This window comes from Homo sapiens, chromosome 4 (assembly GCF_000001405.40).
Source record: "Homo sapiens chromosome 4, GRCh38.p14 Primary Assembly".
NCBI classification, from domain to species: Eukaryota; Metazoa; Chordata; class Mammalia; order Primates; family Hominidae; genus Homo; species Homo sapiens.
The window spans coordinates 78440968-78462102 of NC_000004.12; the positions used below are offsets into that span (position 1 = coordinate 78440968).

The 21135-nt window shown below is 41.8% G+C and overlaps 1 protein-coding gene across 2 annotated transcripts in view; it reads left to right on the forward strand.

Moving 5' to 3' along the window:
• Nucleotides 1-21135, forward strand: part of FRAS1 (Fraser extracellular matrix complex subunit 1) — a 486947-nt gene that overhangs the window by 383645 nt on the left and 82167 nt on the right. Inside the window, exons 41-47 of one of the 2 annotated variants that reach the window (NM_025074.7) lie at nt 195-330; nt 4555-4745; nt 5760-5913; nt 7086-7349; nt 9184-9372; nt 10805-10924; nt 11208-11387. In NM_025074.7, coding sequence (NP_079350.5) covers nt 195-330; nt 4555-4745; nt 5760-5913; nt 7086-7349; nt 9184-9372; nt 10805-10924; nt 11208-11387 — 1234 coding nt within the window. Of the gene's footprint in view, nt 1-194; nt 331-4554; nt 5667-5759; nt 5914-7085; nt 7350-9183; nt 9373-10804; nt 10925-11207; nt 11388-21135 lie in introns of those variants that run through there. The other variant, NM_001166133.2, reaches the window with a different exon arrangement.

Below are 21135 nucleotides of genomic sequence, written 5' to 3' on the forward strand. Positions count from 1 at the left end.
CTTTGAGAGGCACTGAAAGATTGCCTGGCTTCAGCAGCATACACATTCCTCATCTCGTCTGTAGATGGTCTGCCTCCTCAAAGAAGCAGAATTGGTGCTAGAAGGTCACCCAGGCAGCACTTTGCAATCCAGCTCTTTTTTTACTGTGGTTATGTGAAATCACCAAGGACTCTCTATGTTCTTTTCTTTCTTAGGTTGATGAGGGAGGGAGAGCACCACTCTCATTTCACCATTTTTTTGCTACTGATGATGATGACAACCTCCAGAGAGATGCCATCATTAAACTAAGTGCTCTGCCCAAATATGGCTGCATTGAGAACACAGGAACAGGTACTACTTCCTGTAAAACTGTTAAGGACCTTGAGAGAAGGGAGGGGAGAGGGAGGAGGACCTTGCTTCCAGCTAAAGATGGAGATGGAGAACTACAGAGGAGGGGAACCATTTCAAAGAAATGGAAGGAAGGTAGGAAGGTTTCATTCATTCAACAAAAATTTAATGAGCATTTTCTGTGTGCGGGGAACTTATTTAATTAAGCACTAGGGATGTATCAACAGACAAAACCCCCTCCCTTCACAGTGCCTTCAATTCTGGTGGGGGGGTGAGAGACAAATTAAAAACCTAATAAATGAGAAGATTGAGTACGATGTTAGAAGGTGAATAAATATTATGGAAAAAAATAGAGCAGGGGAAGGGGATTTGGAATGCCAGCAATGGGGCAGAAGGGCTTGTGGATTACACTCAGAAATGAGTGTCCAGGAAGTAAAAATTCCTGTCCTTTTATTGTGAGGCAGCTGCAGTTTAGCTGAACCATAGCTTCTGTCTCAGCTCCTTCTACATATATGATATGAATTAAAATGCAAGCTTGTCTATCTGTGACACTCTCTTCCACAGCCCTCCCCTCCACCATCTGCCCTGAACACTCTGGTGGTTATCACAGAGAAGGAAAGGCAAGAAGGGATGTACTGTCCATGGCCCCCTGAGACCTTCTGTGACTGGCAATTGAGACAGCTCATGGCAGGTTGCTGTGCGGCTTTCCCTGCACGGAGCTGCCTGAGCACCAGCACTGGGCTCTAATTGGTGTGCAGCTAGCAGCTCCCATGGAGAGTCCATTGACTGCAGGTGTCTGGGGCCAGCATGGGGCCTGGGATTTCAGCCTGGTAACCAGAAATTCACTTAGCAGTGGTCATGTTTTCCTACAGAAGTTTTGGATCCTTTTCCCATCTTTCCTTTCAATGTGTGCCTTAGATCTGTTTATTGCAGAATTAGGTTTATTTCAACAAATGTTTGTGCTAGATAAAGTGGATGTAAGGATAAGACACAGACTCATGTGCCTTGAGTGGGAGACAGATAGGAAGACTGACAAATTACAATAAATGCAAAATGCCAGGACAGGGAAAGGAGCAAAGCACTGAGAGAGTAAGTAGGACAAAGCAATGGCTTTTGCCTGGGAAGGCAGAAAAGTCTGAGAAAGTGGCATTTGAGTTGGAACCTGAAGGGCTAGTAGGAATCACCCTGGGCAGAGGGAAAGTGGCCTTTCTTGCAGAAGGAAGCTCATAGGCAAAGGTGAGAAATGAAAGGATATCTACCCCAAACACCCCTTCTCTCTGCGTGGTTTCTTATTAAGCCTTCCTAACATGGTTTTATGTCAACCTGGAATACATGGAGGTGCAGAGATACTCCATAGAGAGGACTATTCCCTGGCTAAGAAGTCAAATTTCTGGCAAGCTTCAGCCTCTCTAAAAAGTGGTTCTCAAACTTTAAGGTGCAGTGGAATCACCTGGAGGGTTGAAAGTGTTGTGAAACAGTTTCCTGGAGCAGCAACCCCAGAGTTCCTGTTTTAGGAGGTTGGTGTGGGCCTGTGAATCTGCATTTCTCATTAGCTCACAGGTGATGCCATTGCTGCTGGCCCAAGGACCACACTTAGAGAACTGCTGCTCTACAATAATATTGGTATAAATGTGAAAGGAACAAAAAAGCATTTAGGAGGGCAAAATAATTGTCACAAGGTATATTAACTAAAGACCCCATCTCTTGCCCCATGGAAGAGGCTCCTCCGCCTCTGTTTAGAGCTGAGTGTGACTTATGTATAAGAAACTAGCAGCTGGGCACAGTGGCTCAAGCCTGTCATTTCAGCACTTTGGGAGGCCAAGGTGGGAGGATCGCTTGAGTCCATGTATTTGAGACCAGTCTGGGCAACATAGCAAGACCTTGTCTCCACTGAAAAGGATAAAAATGTAAAAATTAGCTAGACGTGGTGGCACATGCCTGTAGTCCCAGCTACTTGGGAGGCTGAGGCAGGAGGATCAGTTGAGCCCAGGAATTTGAGGCTGTGGTGAGCTGTGATTATGCCACTGCACTCCAGCCTGGGCAGCAGAGGGAAACCGTACCTCAAAAAAGAAAAGAAACTAGCTACCTAAATTCAGAACCTAGCTGATCAGAAAAACATCTTTTTAAAAACTGTTAAAAGAACCAGCTTTTACTTTTCACCAAGAAAAGAAAGAATAATTGTTTTGTTAGGTATGAAATCTAATGGCATGGAGCCTGAATTCATTCAGGACTGGCACAGACAAGACAGGACCCACCTTGATTCCCTCTGGGTATCACTATATTCCAGTGCTATGCAGTGATGGATGTTCACAATGATCGCCTGTGCGCATCAACACCTATTTAATTTGCACATCATATGTTCTGTTTAAGAAAGCAGGTAGCACATTAATAAGAATGATTTATGTCAAAAATAGAAGGTAATGTTTTTTAAATGTAAAGGATTGGAGCTTAAAGCTTCAGTGACAGATTCACTTGTTTAATAGCTTGTTCTCCAGTGATTTAAAATGAGGCACTATTATATTTGTGTATATTTTTAGGCATCATTTACTTTACTTAGGCTTTTTATTTTTTTGAGACAGGGTCTCGCCTCATTGCCCAGGTCAGAGTGCAATGGCATAATCACTACTCACTGTAGCCTCGACCTCCCAGGCTCAAGTGATTCTCCTACCTCAGCCTCCCAAGTACCTGGGACTACAGGCATCCGCCATCATGCCTGGCAAATTTTTGGTGGGGTAATTTTTGTAGAGACAGGGTCTCACTAAGTTGCCTAGTCTGGTCTTGAAGTCCTGGGCTCAAGCAATCCTCCTGCCTTGGCCTCCCAAAGTGTTGGGATTACAGGCATGAGCCACCATGCCCAGTCACTACTTGGGCCATTTTTGACTCAAATAAAGAAGCCACATTTCTCCTGTTTAGAGTGATAAATTTAAGAAAAAAGTAAAAATTGGAAGGAATTTTAGCCGTTCCTTCTGGAAACCCTGAACTGTATAGCCTAATGATTATTGGGTCACTGGCCGCTTAGACCTCTCTCAGCTTCTGTTGCCTAGAGGAATAAAATCTGAGGGGTAAAATTTAAAAAAATTCATGTTATTGAAGAAAAAAAAATGGTGTTGAGCTCTTCTTTCAAATGAATTCTAATAAATATGACACTGTCTATAATTCAGGAAGTTAATAGCCTTTTAATTTTGGATCTGATTTTTGCAAAGGGTCATGGAGAAGGGAAGGGGAAAGCCTGTTGCCTTCAGATCTGCTAGCTGCACTTTTCTGTGTTGATGTATATCCAGGCAATGTTTGAAGACACAAGGGTTTTCTTGGTCTCCTCTCTCTAGAATAACATTGTGATGACAATTTCAAATCAATCAGTTAGACTCAAATTAAAATCAAGTAAAAAACAAGACATCTATCATTTAGATATTGCTTACTCTTCCCCTGGGCCTTTTGCAGTGTTTGGGGTTGGGATGAGAGGAGTAATCTGAGCCAGCATTTTCTGTGGAGCTCTGAATGGTAACTGGGCATCTCGGTACCTGAATGGTGGTACCCAAGCGCCTCAGTGCCTGAATCCCACCTGAGCATCATAGTATCTGAATGGTACCTGAGCTCTGAATGGTCCTGGAGCATCACAATAGCCCTGGTGCTCTATCCCAGGGGCTGGGCTCTGACCCATGCAGAGGTTCCCTTAAGAAACTGGGAGGTCCAATGAAAACATGCTGCAAATGTTTCTTCGATTAAAAGATACACAGTTAACACTACAGATGTTTTTAGATTAAAAGATATGCATTTAACATTTTCTTATGTAGTGAAAGAGGGTTCCTCATGCAGGATATGCCAGATAGAATGGTTTTGAAACTAGCTGGAGCTTAAGGTAGAATCTCTGCTTCTGTATTGTCACTTGCCCTAGTAACAGAAGTTATGATCAGAGACTCCTAATAAAACAACCAGTGGTTCTATGTTATATAAATTATTGTAAGTTTTTTTGCATATTATCTCATTTGATTCCTTTTGGAAATGGCAGGGCAGGTATATCCATTTATAGATGAGAAATAGTCAGTGAGGAAACGGATCTGACCCAGGCCTTCCAATTCCTGGTCTTGTGCTTATCCCACTCTCCCAACTTTATCCTCAAATACATTTTCTTTTTTTTTGCCGAAAATGATACCTTGTTTTCTAGTTCAGCCTAGTAAGCAGGAATTGATAGATCAAGGTAAAAATGCTCTCTTGATGTTGATGCAGGTGATCGTTTTGGCCCTGAAACTGCCAGTGACCTAGAGGCATCATTTCCTATTCAAGACGTCCTGGAAAACTACATTTACTACTTTCAGAGTGTTCATGAAAGCATTGAGCCAACCCATGATATTTTTAGTTTTTATGTGAGTGATGGAACCAGTCGTTCAGAAATTCACAGCATCAATATCACCATTGAGGTAAAGACTTTGGAAGTTGGAAAGGTTGAGCCCTTGACCACAATATTTCACACCATTAGAGAGCTTTCTTTATAGGGACTCAAAAGCAAAGAAGATTGGATTTGACCTTCAAAATTGAAGGTCGTTCTTAAAATATAGCCTTCAGGAATCTTGTAGAATTAAGGTTGGCATTTGGGGAAGGCTTGAGTTAGAAATCTAAATTTCCATTTCAGGATTGAATTTATTTGTTCGGTGTGAAAAACAGTTTGTGAAGGTCAGAGATGCTTTGCCAGTCTCATATATAAATGAAAACTTACATATGTCTATGTTTCTCTGAAATTGTGTTTGGTTCTATATGCATATTTGCCTTTTCTTATTTTACTGCATTTATTTATTTAATTGTAACATCAAAGAAATGTGTTCCTTGATGCTGTATTTATTCTCATTTGAGCAACTACACAGGCTTGCTCTACCGAGAGAGAGACACAGGGGAGGGGAAAGATAAATCTCAGAATGAAATACCCTCTGCCTTGGGAAAATAAAATGTAAAGAACCCTCTGCACTCTTAAGGGTCAGTGGTGGAAAGGGGCTGGCACCAGGGCAGGGAGACAGCTTTAGAGACCCACACTTTCAAATATAGTGTCCTTCTACAGGTACTGTGGTATGCTTAGCATTTTCTAAGAGAGTTCTGAGTTATATTAGTATGGTCTTTTATCTTCAAAGTATGTTAATACTTGTACTTGTCAAAGCACATATCCATATTTTTGGTCTAGAAAATATGGTCATTGTACTTACGGAAGATATCTGAGAAAACTTTTATGAAATGTCCATCAGCTTCTTTTGAAGGGGGCATTTTGTTGCCTGGACTTGCTCTCTTTTCAAACTAACTATTTTGCTTGGGAAGTAAAGATGGTGCCACATTAAATGCTATTTTGAGGTGAACATTTCTGTAGCAATGATACTGTCTCTGAATAATGTGCATTTTCTTTCTTCTTAAATATCTGTGTGAGATCTAATAGTTTATGCTTTAATCAGAGGAAGAACGATGAGCCTCCCAGGATGACCTTGCAGCCCCTCAGAGTGCAGCTGAGCTCGGGAGTGGTGATAAGCAATTCTTCTTTGAGCCTGCAAGACCTGGACACCCCAGATAATGAGCTCATTTTTGTATTGACAAAAAAGCCTGACCACGGTAGGGCACGAACTGCTATGAAAAGCTTCTTAATTGAGATGCCCGATGGGCTGTTAGAATAAACACAAATATTTCAGTTGACTATTTCTTTTCTTGTATATGGTACATTCTTTGCATCAAAGTGTAATCAAATTCACAGCTGGCTAATATTTTTTTGGAGTCCTGGTAGACATCAGTTGTTTAAGAAGCCTCAATCCCAGTTAATTGGTGTCTCTGAAGTTAAATTTCAGCCGTTTTTTTGCTTTTCTATGTAACCTTAAGCAAAAAAGTTTTCAGAATTTGCCTATTCTCTTCTCAGAGTTCCCATATTGTCTTCTCAGGGTAGACATCAGTGTTTAATAATCTTGAGCCATTTTATGTACCCTTGTAGAGGCATACTAGATGTCTTTATGAACTTGTTCCTTTTGTAAAAAAAAAAAAAAAACACTTTTCCTCATTTAAACCAGATGCAGAAGCCACTTTTGGGACCTTCTACCTACTTCTTTTTTTTAAGAGCCATCTCTCCAGTTATTGGCTAAAGTTCTGGAATGCAAGTGGTGTGTCTCAATTCATCGTAATGCTCATTGGTCTTTTAAAGATTAAATTGTTGCAGTAGATGAAGGGTTAATAGAAAAAACTGTTGGGCATTGTATTTTAGCTGGCTTCCATTCACTTTCGCTTTCTTGAATGAAGCACTTTGACTGTCCCACTGCGGTACATGACCCTTGAGAACAGAAATATATGCTTCAATCTAAAGATGCTTAGTGTCTCTCTTAATTGAAAAGGAATTTAAAGCATATTCTCATCTCTGCCTCTAGATGCCCTAAGAGAAAGACAGTGAGTGCTATTTTCACTTTGCAAAAGGGAAAAATAAGATTTAGATAATGAAGTGAGTTTAAATTCATGGAGGGAGATATGATTTGTAAGTCACTGTATTACCACATCCATCTGTGTCTCCTTAAGAGACTTTTTAGCTAGGATAAGTGGGACTTTGTCTTCTTTATTTGTGTATGAGGCCACAGAGCAGCACCCTGTGGTTATATGTAAAATGCTAAGCTGTTGGCACCAAGAGCCTCTGAGGCACTTGACATTCTACCCAGACTCATACTACTTGGAAAAATCAGACAATGTTTTGAATCATATATATATGTGTATTCTACCATTGTTTTGCTTTTCTTTACCTCTTCCCTCAGGTCATGTACTCTGGAGGCAAACTGCTTCTGAGCCTCTGGAGAATGGGAGAGTTTTAGTCCAGGGCTCAACCTTCACCTACCAGGATATCCTAGCTGGGCTGGTTGGGTATGTGCCTAGTGTCCCTGGCATGGTCGTGGATGAGTTCCAGTTCTCCCTCACTGATGGCCTCCACGTGGACACAGGGAGGATGAAGATCTACACAGAACTGCCTGCAAGTGACACACCTCACTTGGCTATAAACCAAGGCCTACAGCTCTCAGCAGGTACCACAGAAATAAAGGAGAGTGGCCATGGTTTTTCTATCCTTATTTCTTCTTTGTCCAGTATGCAGTACTTTCTTCCATGTTAGTGATGTGGGTGCATCTTAAAGTACCTGTTCCATACTTGGGGAGATTGGAGTCTTGGAAAACTATTGTTTTTGGGATACTAAGAATTGTTAGTGACAAATGTGAACCTCTAAAATTCTTTGGACCAAATGCTTATGTCTGTGAATTAGAGAAAAGATTGAGAAGAGTTTATAATATTTCCAGGGCCCTCAAAAATCTTAATTTATTCAACTCCTCCTAGGCCCAGGTTTCCTCTAACATTACTCCCATTCAACAAACCCCATGGAAACAAATAACGAAATATAGCAGAATTTTTAAGACGCTTATTTTTTTACAAAATGCATGGAGGGTAAGCTGGGAAACCATCATGCATTAAAAGTGATTATACAAATAATTGAGAATTATCAGATATGGTATTCTAGGGTTTAACATTCACAATTTTGCTCATGTTTAAGCAACATTGGAGGACCTGTGACAAGTGTGAGTCTTGAACAGTTTGCAGTAGGAAGTTACTTAATTAAGAAGTGGACCTTTTGCCCAGGGTGTCTGCATCTTACTAGAGTTCTGTTGTTTGTTTGTTCTTAGTTTCATGTGTATTTTGCAGTGAAAAATGTATGGTATAATAGTATTGGAAAACTTGGTAGTTCTCAAAGGTCTTAAATATCAAGTCTGAGATTTGACTTTATCCTACTTATAAGCTAATAAACTATCCTGTTACTGTTTCATGGATGCTGGTAGAAGATACAAGATTCCTCCATCAGAAATACGGCACTCTTGTTACTTATAGCACAGCAGGCAGCATGGGCATCAGCAGGTTTGCATCGGCTCCCTCTGCCATCCCAGTCCCATAGGGGTGATGTAGAGGGCCCAGACAGACACTTTCGTGTGCAGTAGGATGCATCACAGAGGGGAATACTGAGCTTGGGGAATTCTCCATGTTACAGCAGCAGAATGCAAGTCTTATTTTTGTCTGAGAGGAAGACATTACCTCATCCCTCAAGGTTGCTCTCTGAGAAACGGCCTGGGTAAAGCATGGTCAGGGTCTTGTGTTCTTGGTATTACCCACTAAGAACATGTCACTCCAAACACCAGGATGTATTATGCATGAATAACTAGGCTCTACTTTACCGGGATTTACTATTTTTAACATGATAAAGCGGCTGGGTAATAAAGCAAGTGACAAGACCCTGAGAAGAGGAGTTTGCCATTAGCCAGGGCCTTATCTTCATCCCCAACACCTGCGCAGTGTCCAGGGCCCAGAGGCTCAGATCTCCTTGCTCCTAACATCCTCTGTCCTGAAGGATGCTGATTTTCACTACTTTGTCTGACATGGCAACAAGATATGTTTGAGTTTATGTAAAGCTATATTTTTCTGATTTGGTGATTCTCAAGACAGTAAGTAAACTAAATCCAAGCAGGTTTCATCATAGATCTAGGAGTTATTTTTGTCACAGAACTGGGAGTTATTCCACAGATCTAGGTATTAACTGGTAGGTCACTGAGTCGGAGGAGCATAGGAGAGAATGAAAATGGATCAGAAGGAAAAAAGTGCTTAGGTGTTGACTCAAGGGAAAATTAGTAAATTGAAATGTCGGTACTCTTTCACTAGGGAAATTATAATTTATTCAGCTGGAAACTGAGAAGGGCAAGTGCCTGGTACCTAGATCCAATGAATATGTGATAATTTAGCCTCCAGTCTCCTAAAATCATTTGACATCCCGTTCAAAGGAAATGTTGGGGAATAACCTACTCTCTTCCGTTCTCTTCCAAGGGTCTGTAGCACGCATCACAGAACAGCACTTGAAAGTGACAGATATTGACTCAGATGACCATCAGGTTATGTACATCATGAAGGAAGATCCTGGTGCAGGGCGCCTGCAGATGATGAAGCATGGCAACCTGGAGCAAATTTCTATTAAAGGCCCCATCCGAAGTTTCACCCAGGCAGACATTAGCCAAGGTCAGCCAGTTCTCTTCTGCCTACCAGGCTTCCGTGGACTGCACCTACACTAGTAAAATGAGAATTAAATATCTGGTAGTCTATGGCAATAAACTGTGCACTCTTTGTTTTGAGGAGCTTCATTTGTTCTCTTCCTTGTTTTCTTATTTTTTTTTTCTTTTTGTTTTTAAAAAAGCCCTATCTTTCTTGGTTGAAATGTGTTCATGCTTTGACTTAGCATTGGTGGCATTTGCAGCTATTTTGGAGAGAAAAAGTTATTTTGACTTGCTGTGATGCTAAAAAGTATATATGAGAGAGAGAGAAGGAAAAAAGAAGTGAGTTGGGATGGATTAAGGTGAAAATTATGCCTTCCTTAGGTGAGCAATTTATATCTCTTTTCAGCTCCCCAAAGAGCACAAGTTAATGAACTAAGCAAAATGGAAGGGCATAAATCGGAGCTGCCTAGGGGAAATTACATGGCACATCCCTCCATCAGGAAATGCTGATGTAATGTAAAGGCATAAATGTTAAATGCTACGTAGTTACTGTACAGTGCTTTCAGGGATACAAAAGGGAAAAAAAGTTATATATTGGGGAAAACGTAATCCACAGTCTTGTGATTATGTGCAATTCTGTTTAGAAGTGGAAATATACCCCTGCGGATAAAAAACAAGTGTCCCGCCCACACACTAACACCTAAAATTGACAACAGCTGAATTCTCATTGGAACTGGCTGTGCTTTAGTGAAGGGGAGTGGAAGAGGCAAAAGGAAAGTAATTCCTTAATTATTTCATATGTCGGTGTCTACTTTTAAAAGATAAGACCAGCCCCCTCTTCCCAGAGATTTGGTTATATTTACACAACCAAATTGAAAGATGCTTTTAAGTGATGCTGTAGGTTAACAAAAATGTAATACATTTTTGTTGTACTTCTCCTTTTAGATCCTTTTGAGTTCTATGTGGAGTTTATTTGTTGGTTGGCTATAGCCCATGTTGCTCCGTGAACTGGGCAATGAAAAGTGAAGAGTTCTGGGAGAATGTGAGGTGCAGCTCTGTGTCTTCTTGCCCTTGTGATTCCAATATATAATAGGGTCACTCCAGGTGATGTGGGTGTGGTCAGTGCACATTTACACATGGGCAGTTTTGTGGATCTCGTTTTCATGAGGTGTCCTTAGAGGCTGAGCTGATCTTCCAAAAAGGCTCAGCCTTAACCATGAGAAATGTCACTTGGGGTGATTTTGTTATGAGAAGGTCTTTGGTTATGAGAAAGTAGATGGTGGGAGAGGAAAAGGAGGAAATGAAAACTTTAGATTAAAATGTCAAAAGCAGTGTCAAAGCGAGGAAGGTGTGAACTGATTCATTGGTGTGAACACCAATTGAATTCACACCTCTTGCTTCAGAAATAAGGGCAGAAAGCACTAATAGCAAATCTTGATTTTTTTTCCTTTTTATAGGCCACGTAGAATATAGTCATGGAACAGGAGAACCTGGAGGGAGCTTTGCTTTTAAATTTGATGTGGTTGATGGAGAAGGCAACAGATTGATTGACAAGTCATTTTCCATCAGCATTCTAGGTAAAGAGACATTTGATTTTCTAATATAAAACTATTTTAGCAGTTCTGAGGTTATATAGTTTACACTTTGTTCACCTCGAGGCTCGAGTCCTTCCCTTTACCTAGCTGGTGTGGAAACTGAAAATCATACCCCCTTTATTGCACGAAGCCCTGGCTCCTTGGTGTGCTCTCTAACACACAGGCCTAGAGATGACTCTGACCTTACTTCTTGGCACCAGGCCTAGAATTAAAGAAAGGAGGCTGAGAAGATCCCATTTCAAATCACTATTTCTGATATTTTCAGAAGACAAATCCCCACCAGTCATCACCACCAATAAAGGACTGGTCTTGGATGAAAACTCAGTGAAGAAAATCACCACCCTGCAGCTGTCTGCCACTGACCAGGACAGTGGGCCTACAGAATTGATCTACAGAATCACCAGACAGCCCCAGCTGGGCCACTTGGAACATGCAGCATCACCAGGTAAGTCTATCATCTCTTGATTTACTGAATCAAAACTTAGACCTTAGTAAGTATTGAGGGCAGCCACATCATGTATCATGTATACCTAGAATCTGCCTTAATTCATATTTATTTTCTGCCTCACTAATTTTGACCATTATACACTGGCTTGTATTATACTTAGCACACAGCAGGTGCTTAATGATTACTTACTGAAGGTAAATTAAAAGTTACATGTAAAATTTTCTATATGCAATCTTGTCTCCATAACTAGATGGTAAATTCCTTTAGGGCAAACACTGCATCCTGCTTTTCATCTATACTCCCTTGAGCACATGGCACTGTGCAAGGCATTCTGCATGGCTTAAAAATTCAATCCAGTGAATAGTGAGTGAGCAAGTGTACTGAGCAAGATTCTGGTTTAGCTGCTGCTCAGGAAATGAAGATGATTGAGATACAGTCCTTGACCTCCAGAGTTCTCTATTGGGTAAAATAAGGAACCTCTGCACATAACCATAACTCAGGGGAAAATATGGCAGGTGTTTTAAGAAAGATATAAACATGGTGTTGTAGGAGTTTAAAAGTGGGAGAGGCTACATTGGGTGAGAAAGTGCACAGAGGTGGCATTTAAGAGTGCCCTTGGAAGGCAGAGTTTGGGTATACAGAATTTGTATTCTTTCCAGAGATGGGAGGCACATTCAAAAAACAACAATTAGGTCAATTTAACTGAAGCACATATTCTAAAAATAGTAGGAGATGGGGCTCATGGATAGATTGAGAGTTTGTGGAGGATCTTCAAAGCTGGGATAAGTAACCTCTATTTAATTTAATAGGCAATAGTGAGTCACTGTGGAATTTTGAGCAAGGAAGAAAAGTGAAACTCATCAGGTAGTGTCTAACAGGATGAACTGAAGGAAAGAAAAAGGAGGCAGTGGCAGGGGTTAGAAAGCTTTCACATTTGGCCAGGTAGAAGGTAGTGGGATTTCACCTAGAGCAGCAGCCATGAGAATAGTAAGATGAGAATAATGCGAGAGAGAATTCCTGTACCTAGTAAGCATTCAATAGACATTTGTTGGTTGAATGAAGGATGGAAGAAAGGAAGGAATTTCAGGGGAGAACCTACACAAGCTGGGAGCTGAAGGGATGTGAGTGACAAGAGATATTTGCTGAATAAACAATCTAGAGCCAGGTGCAGTGGCTCACACCTGTAATCTCAGCACTTTGGGAGGTTGAGGTGGGAAGATCTCCCTTGAGTCCAGGAGTTTGAGACCAGCCTGGGCAACATAGTGAGACCCCGTTTATTTTCTTTTCTTTTTAAAGGCCAGATGTGGTGGTGCACATTTGTAGTTGTAGCTACTTGGGAGGCTGAGACAGGAGGATTGCTTGAGCCTGGGATTTGAGGCCGCAGTGATCTGTGATCATACACTGCACTGCAGCTTGGTGACAGAGCAAGACCCTATCTCAAAAAAAAAAGACAATCTAAAGGTAGAATTATCTTTATTTCTTGGAACATAGAGGCAGTGACAGCATATTGGAGTTTTAGAGCTTCGTGGATTCTTTTCAGATTTTAGGTTATACAGTCTTCATTAATTCAACCAGGCAAATGGAAAAATGGGGGAAGTTCCTGCCCTGATTGTACTCACTTTCTAATGCAAGGATTCCAACAACAAGCAAGCAAGCACGTATATGCTGTGTCAGATGGTGATGAGTGTCTAGGAGAAGGAAGGGTATTCCTGGGAGAACACAGAGAGCAAGCAGGTGAGGGAAGCCCTCTGTAATAATAAGATGACAGTTGAGCAGACATCTGAAGAAAGCCAGGTAGCTGGCCACGCTGATACATAAAAAAAAAAAAAAAGGACATTCCAGACAGAGGGATCAGCAAACATCAACATCCTGAGGCAGGTTCCGTCAGACAAATCATGTTCAAGACGCAGCAAGGAGACCAGGGTGGCTGCAGCAGAGTGAATGAAGGGGAGACTTGGAAGAGATGAGCTTTAAATGGTGGAGGGTGATCAAATGGAGGAAGTGAGGGAGGCAGACTGCATCTGGGTCCAGAGCAATGGTGGAGGAGGGCATGTAGTACGTGTATGGCAGGAGGGCATGCAGAGAGATGGACAGATTGGCTAAAATCCCTAGTGGGAATTAGAGCAAGTCACCTACCTTTTTGTCCGTAAGTTCCTGGGATAAGTTTGCAGAGCAGCACCCCCAAGACCTTGGCTGCTGAGATATTAGATAAATAATTCACGAGCTAATTGTCTCCGCCAGAATTCTGTGAGGCTGCTGATTGTATCTCTCCAAAGATGAAAGGGCAGACTTGGCTGTTGTGTTAGGCAACTCATCCACACCGTGCAGAGCCTTCAAAAGCTCTGAGCTTCCTCAAGGCACTGCCATTGCCTCCCTGCTGGTCAGTAGCAGCCCCAGCTCTTCCCTGACCCCAGCTGTGTTAAGAGTCCTGTTAGGGAGGCAGGGGCTCCAAATTTGCTTTTTCTGTTTTCACAGCTCTCAGCCTTTCCTGGGCTTAAAATCTGGTTACTGAAACCAAGCCAGCTGTGGTTCGGGAGAGGCCAGTAGGTGATCATGCTTCTCCCTCCTCCTGGAACAGCACCCTCCAAAAGTGGAGGAATGCTGTCTACCTGGGATGGTTCCTTCAGGTGCCCTTTTCCAATGGGCTTTATTTCCTAATTCACACCTTTCCCAGTCCCTACCAGTTTTTCTCAATCTGCCTGCTTCCAGTAACTCTGAGAAGAGCAGATACAAGGCTCCAGTCCTCTTCTCTTTGCTCTGAGGGGCCCCTCCCCGTGGCTAATAAAACGGACTTCCCTGCCCTCCTCATCACCAACCCCACACTGAGCCCTTCTGTTTCAGTTAGCCAGGACTGTCTCCTTCCCTACCTCCCCGGCTCTACTAAAAATACAAAATTTAGCCAAGTGTGATTGTTTTTACATGCCTCCCTTTGGAGGAAGTACATGTTGATTACTTACTGGCCTCCCTGAAGGCAGTTGGCTACAGCTTAGCAAAAAGGAGCAGCACCTCACCCCACTTGTCTCAATGGGTGAGGATGGGTTTACCAGAAGTTGGAGTTGAGGAGGGAGGGGGTTCTGTTATTTCCAAGAAGAGCAGAGCAACTTCTAGGCCAGTGTCTGTAGTACAGAGCACCAAGATATTTATTTGGGGACCAGAGACCTCCTGGAATTATTATGAATCACTGGTGCTGCAGACACCCTCCTGATTGTTAACTGGGAAATAGACTTATTTTCATGCTGTCTTGCTTGGTCAGCTGATTATAATTGATTGTCCTCTGTAGACAGGAAAGGTGGGGAAATCTCTTCTTCCCCATAGGAGATGTAGGGAGCCATCTGCCTATGCGAACTGTGCAGAAGACAGACCTAAGCCTTCTGTCACCAAAGAGAGTCCAGTCCTTGTATGCGCTGTCTTTTCAAGATTGAGCAGGCCACACCCTCACATCAGGGTTTCCCTCTATCAGTAGACCCAAAAGACCCTGTTTTTCTTGGGATATTAGAGTAAGGAGTTATATTAACTAGGATAGAAGCTAAGCTGCTGGACCAAGGAGACCCCAAAATATAATGACTTCAACAAGACATTTGTTTTCTCTCAGAGTAATCCAAAGGCAGGTGGCTCAGGGGTGTGAGGTGGCTCAGTGATCCTCAGTGTGAGGCTTCTACCTCTGGCCCAAGGCGAATGCAGCAGCTGTGGTCCTCCTCCAGCCAGCAGGAAGAAAGAAAAGGCCAGGGAAGCCCCACATCCATTTTGGTTTTAGGAGCATTACTTGAAGAACACATGTCACTTTTTTTTTTTTTTTTTTTTTTTGAGACGGAGTCTCACTCTGTCACCCAGGCTGGAGTGCAACGGTGTGATCTTGGCTCATTGCAACCTCCGCCTCCCAGATCAAGTGATTCTTGTGCCTCAGCCTCCCAAATGGCTGGGATTACAGGCACACACCCCCACACCTGGCTCAATTTCGTATTTTTAGTAGAGACAGGGTTTCGCCATGTTGGCCAGGTTGGTCTTGAACTCCTGACCTCAAGTGATCTGCCTGCTTTGGCATCCGAAAGTGCTGTGTTTACAGGCATGAGCCATGTACCAGGCCTCAAATAACATATATCACCTTCCAGTGGCAAAAGCATATGCATGCAAAGCTGTGAGGTGGCTGGAGAATGTAGACTCTAACTGGGCATCTAATTACTTAACTAATAGCAGTCATATCTTTTTTAAGCAGGGGAGGAGTAATATTGGAATATAGCAATTTCCAGGACAACACTGGTTTTCAAGGGATAGGGCGTTTGGTTGTCACCCTTAGGGTACAAGTTGTCACACTGATTCAGATGGGGTTGAAGGGTAATGGTGGCTAAACAAACATTTAGAGGGTAGAGATAGGGATGCTATTAACAAATGTCCAGCAATGAATGGGATAAGCCCTGAACCAAATAATTGTTCTGTCTAAAAGGCCAGTTGTGGATTAGTGAGAAATAGTAGGCTGTGGCATCTAATCCTAAGTCTGAATCCTTGCTCTTAGTTTTAACTTTATTCCCGGTAGAGCATATTGAAATCAGCAGAGCTCCAAGAGACAGCTCTCAACACAACACAACTCTCAACACCTTACTCATTTCAGTCTCACCCCACGTGCTTCATTCAGAAGTTAGGTAGTTGCTACTTCTGTAATACTTCAAGGAGGCCTACCTCGTGCTGGATGCCCCTCACCAGTTACAACACACCTTCCTCAAAGCCTAAAGTGACATAATGGCTGCTTGGCTAGATGAAGAAAAGATCTTCTCTGATCTGTCAGAATTCCTAAAGGCATTTAGAGACCCATTAAAAGGCCCTTTGCTGATGGGCAACCTGGGGAAAGCCACAATTGCTTTCCTCCCACTGTGGAGTCCACCGGAAGCTGAACCAGAGCCCGAAATAAACTTTTCAGATGATGTTAGTGCTTAGCAAAGGCAAACAGAGAAGGACTTCTGCACCACAGGGGGGCAGTGGCAGGGGGTACCAGAGGTAGGTCTCCTTGCTGGTCAGCCCCCAAATCTTCTTAATTCTGTAAAATATGCTGCTTGAAGAAAAGCCTTGTGTACAGCACTTAGCTTCATGCAGCCTCTGTGAATCACAGGTTACACAGAGCATTTCCCCACCCTTCTGGGAATGTGGAACCAACCCCTGTGTTGTTATTGTTGTTTTAACCATTCTCAGGATCCTATCTTGCTCTTAAATCTTAAAATCAGGCAGATGAAGAGCTTTATCCTCATCAAATTGAAAATCCTTTCATCAGCTATTTACTAATCACCGACGTACCCACGAAAGTGAGTGCCCTCAAGGACGAGTCTAGACGTCTTAAATCCTTAAACCCTTTGGCTGTTACAAAACTCTTCAGGGAACCCTTTCTTGCTAAGAGTTAACTTATCAAGGTGTCGCTCACAAATTTTCCACTTTCTACTTTGTACTCACTGCCAAGTTCTCATTTCTTGAAGGAGCTAAATTAAAGCTCCAAAAAAGGTAAGCCACCTTTCAAACAAGCATCTCTTCCCTTCCTTACCCTAATTAGCCTTTTAAGCTCACTTCTGAAAGTTCTCAGGGAAGTGGACATTTTGTCCAGAAGCCATAATATCATCTCAACCAGATTTCAAAATGGAGGGACAGCATCATGACAGCCCGTGTGGCTTGGACAGATAATATTGTCCTTAGGGAATACACAGTTAGAGAGAGAGAGGTCAAAGCGAGAACTTCCAGGTAATGTCCTGGGCTTTGACTCAGCCACCTCCATAAATCAGACAACCCTAGAGTCCAGGCTGCCTCCAGGGATGTGTGAGCTGCAGGATAGTTAAACCTCTTCAGTTGTGCATGCATCCTCAGCCCACTCATAATCCTCATTCCTCACTAGTTTTCTATCGTTGTGGAGGCTAGTCTGTATCATGTCCTCACTAACGGAGAAATCACAGTACTAAGCCCCCTTTAGGCTACCTAGTCATGACTGCACTTTAAGGGCCAACCCTTAGCACTTACCAGTTTAGTAACAGTCATATGAAGCATTATTTTTATTCACCAGATATAAATAGTTCTCTTGTCAGTAAACCCACACAATTTCTCTTATTAAAAATATTGCAGAATTTAAAACAGAAAACCAGATATCACATATGCTCACTTATAAGTGAGAACTTAACACTGGGTATGCTTGGACATAGAGATGGGAACCTTAGACACTGGGGAGGGAGGGAGTGGGGAGAAAAGGCTGAAAAACTTACTATTGGATATTGTGTTCACTATGTGGGTGACAGGATCAACAGAAGCCCAAACTTCAGCATCACACAATATACCCTGTAACAAACCTGTACATGTACCCCTGAATCTAAAATAATTTTTTTAAACCTGCAGAATTCATGTAACTTCAGACATAACCACCACCCCACCTCTGCACAGATTGAATAAGATCAAATACTTGATCTTAATGTCATCCACCATTTTATCTGCTACCTCTGAGGGAGCTGTGACTGTTCCAGTTATAGAGATGACAAAAAAATACAATGAAATAAGGCAGTGTATTACTGGCCTATGTGACTCATATAGAGCAGAAAGAAAGCATTTAACAACAACAAAAAAAGAAAGCAAAGCAGGTGTTCTGATCATTCTTTCTACTTTTCTGTTAAATCAAGGGTTCTCAGCTCTGTTTGGACATTAGAATCACCTGAGTGATTAGAATGTTACACATTAGAATCACCTGAGTGAGTGGCATGTGTTTAAAAATAATGATGCCTGGGCCCCACCTAGACCAATAAATAGAGTCTCCTAGAGATGGGGCTTAGAATATGAGTGTCTTTTAAAAGGACCCCAATGAAATTCTATTTACAGGCTGAGTTGTAATTACATGTATATGGTACTTGTCATGTTAGAATTGCTTCCTTCCCTCTTTTCCTCCCTGCCTTCCTTTCTCCCTTCAACAAACACTTACTGAGTAGCTGCTACAAGAGAATACTTACATTTTGGAAGTGGGAGACATGTAGACAGACATGTGCACATGTGTTTCAGTAGCCAGGTACACATAATTTGGTACACACATAATTCACACACATGTTTGGTAGCAACATGGCAGAGGACAGGGGGAGCCCAAAGCATGCATGGCAGATTCCACCTAAGAGAGTGGTGGGAGTTAGTTGGGAAACAATTCTCAGAGGTGATGCTTTAGCAATGGTGTTATTTCATTTCCTCTTTATTTCAACCTCTTTCAGTATTGTGAGACCAACCAAAATAGGATGCACCCATTGTCTTGGTTTGGGTTCTCCCTGAGAGCAGAGGCATATTAGCTTGCTAGGGCTACCATTAAAAAGTTACACAGAATATGCAGTTTAAACAACAGAAATCTATTGCCAGTTCTGGAGGCTGCAAGTTTGAGATCAAGGTGTTGGTAGGACTGGCTCCTTCTGAGGGCTGTGAAGGAAGGACCCGCCCCAGGCCTCTCTCCTTGGCTTGGAGATGGCCATCTTCTTGTTCATGTGGTGTTCTCCCTGTTGGGATATGTCTGTATCCAAATTTCCCTTTTTTATGACACCAGTCATATTCGATTAGAGCCCACCCCAATGACCTCATGTGATCTAATTACATCTACAATTACACTATTTCCAGATAAGTTACATTCTGAAATACTGGGGCTTGGGACTTCAACATATGAATTTGTGGTGGGGAAAGGGTGCAATTCAACCCATCACAAGAGGCTTTTCAAAAATCCTGAAGCAAGAAGGCTGGGAGTCTCCCACAGGATGAGCTTGAGATAGGACATGGACATGGGTAACATGCATAGAACTGCCCACAGCTGGGCTGCAAGTGGGAGGACTGAGGCATCATCTAACACGCTGTTAAGAAGGCAATTTCTTCAGAGATGCTTTATTTCCACACCATTTCCCTGACCTGGACTGTGCTTTCTTTAGCGTGCTGGCCCTCCAGGGGAATTGGAAAGACTGACAGGGTTAATGTGGGTCTCCATAATACTGCCAGATACATAGTTTAGCCAGCAGGTTAGTGATTGAAAACACCTTCAATGGGATTAAAACCCTTCAAGATATTTCAAATAGCAACTACCTGCTGTGACAGCGGTAGGGACAATATGTTATTAGAAACACCACCTTGCTGGCAAATGAGCAGATGAAGTCTTCCAAAACCCAATTAGCAAAGGCTAAAATTTTAAAAATAAAAAGTGGATGATGATTGAAAATATAGTCATGTATTGCGTAACAATTCTGAGAAATGCATTGTCAGGCGGTTTCATTATTTTGTGAACATCACAGAGTGTGCTTACACAAACCTAGATGGCATAGCCTGCTACACACCTGGGCTATATGCATATAGCCTGTTACTCTTAGGCAACAAACCTGTGCAACATGTTACTGTACTGAATACTGTAGACAATTGTAACATGATAGTAAGTATTTGTGTATCTGCACATATCTACACATAGAAAAAGTATAGTATTATAATTTTATGGGATCACCATTATATGCAGTCTGTAGTTGACCAAAACTGAAATGTCATTATGTGACGCATGACTGTATGTGCTCAATAGAACCTCTTAGGTATAGATTATAGTGGATAATCTAAATTAATTCACCAAATATGGTTTGAGCATCTACTGTGTTCCAGGGATTATTCTAGGTGCACATCAGTGAAGAAACAAGAAAAAATCCTTGTCCTCTTAAAACTCAGGTTCTAGATGCAACTTGTTGCCCCTGCACATATTTATGGGTGTCATTTAAATGATAATATTAAAACCCATCAAAATCAATATTTCAGACAAGAAAGAGGATATAGCCAATAAAGCATTTTAGAAGGAACTACTCAAAAATATTGTGTTGTTTTTTCAGTGGTAAGTCTATGAATGATTTTTCTTTCCTACTTGTCTAGATTTTTCACATTCTCTTTAATAGGCATATATTACTTTCATATTGAAAAAACTTTAAAGAAGAGTGAAATCCAAGAGGTTTCTTGTCTAGATAAGTTTTACAAAAAGTGCTCCTAGCAGGCATAAACTTTGAAATTAGACCGCCTCGGGTTTCAATTTCATCACTGCCCCCTTATTAGCTATGTGACATTGGGTACATCACATAACTTTTTAATTACATAAATTATAGTGTCATGATCTACAAAATGGGGGTAACATGCTAACCTCAACCTTCCAGAGTTGTTAAAAGATAAAATTCAACATAAATAAGCAGTCTTTAAACTGTGTTCCATCCATAGTAGGTGCTCAATATTTGCTAGATTGAATTGGGAAAGTCGCACTAAGATCAAGCCCAGCTCTCTCGTGCAATATAGTGAGAATATAAAATGGTACTACCACCTTGGAAAAGCAGTTTAGCAGTTTCCTGAAAAATTAAGCATACACCTAACATATATTCCAGGTATTTCGCTCCTAGAGATTTACCAAGAAGAATGAAAGCTTATGTCCATACAAAGATTTGCACACTAATAATCATAGCAGCTTTATATATGGGGCATGCTAAATGAAAGAAACTAGACATGAAATAGTATATACTATATAATTCTATTTATTAAAAAGTAGAGAAAATGCCAGCTAATCTGTAGCATCAGAAAGCGATTCATTGGTCGCTTTGGGTTGGGGTAGGCGACGGGAAAGGGAAGGATGGAAGGGTTATGAAGCGTAAGTTGGAAACTTGGGGTGATGAATTGGTTCACTATTTTGAATGAGGTGATGGTTTCTGGGTGTACCAAAGCTTATGAAATTGCACACTTTACGCCGGAAGCAAAGGCT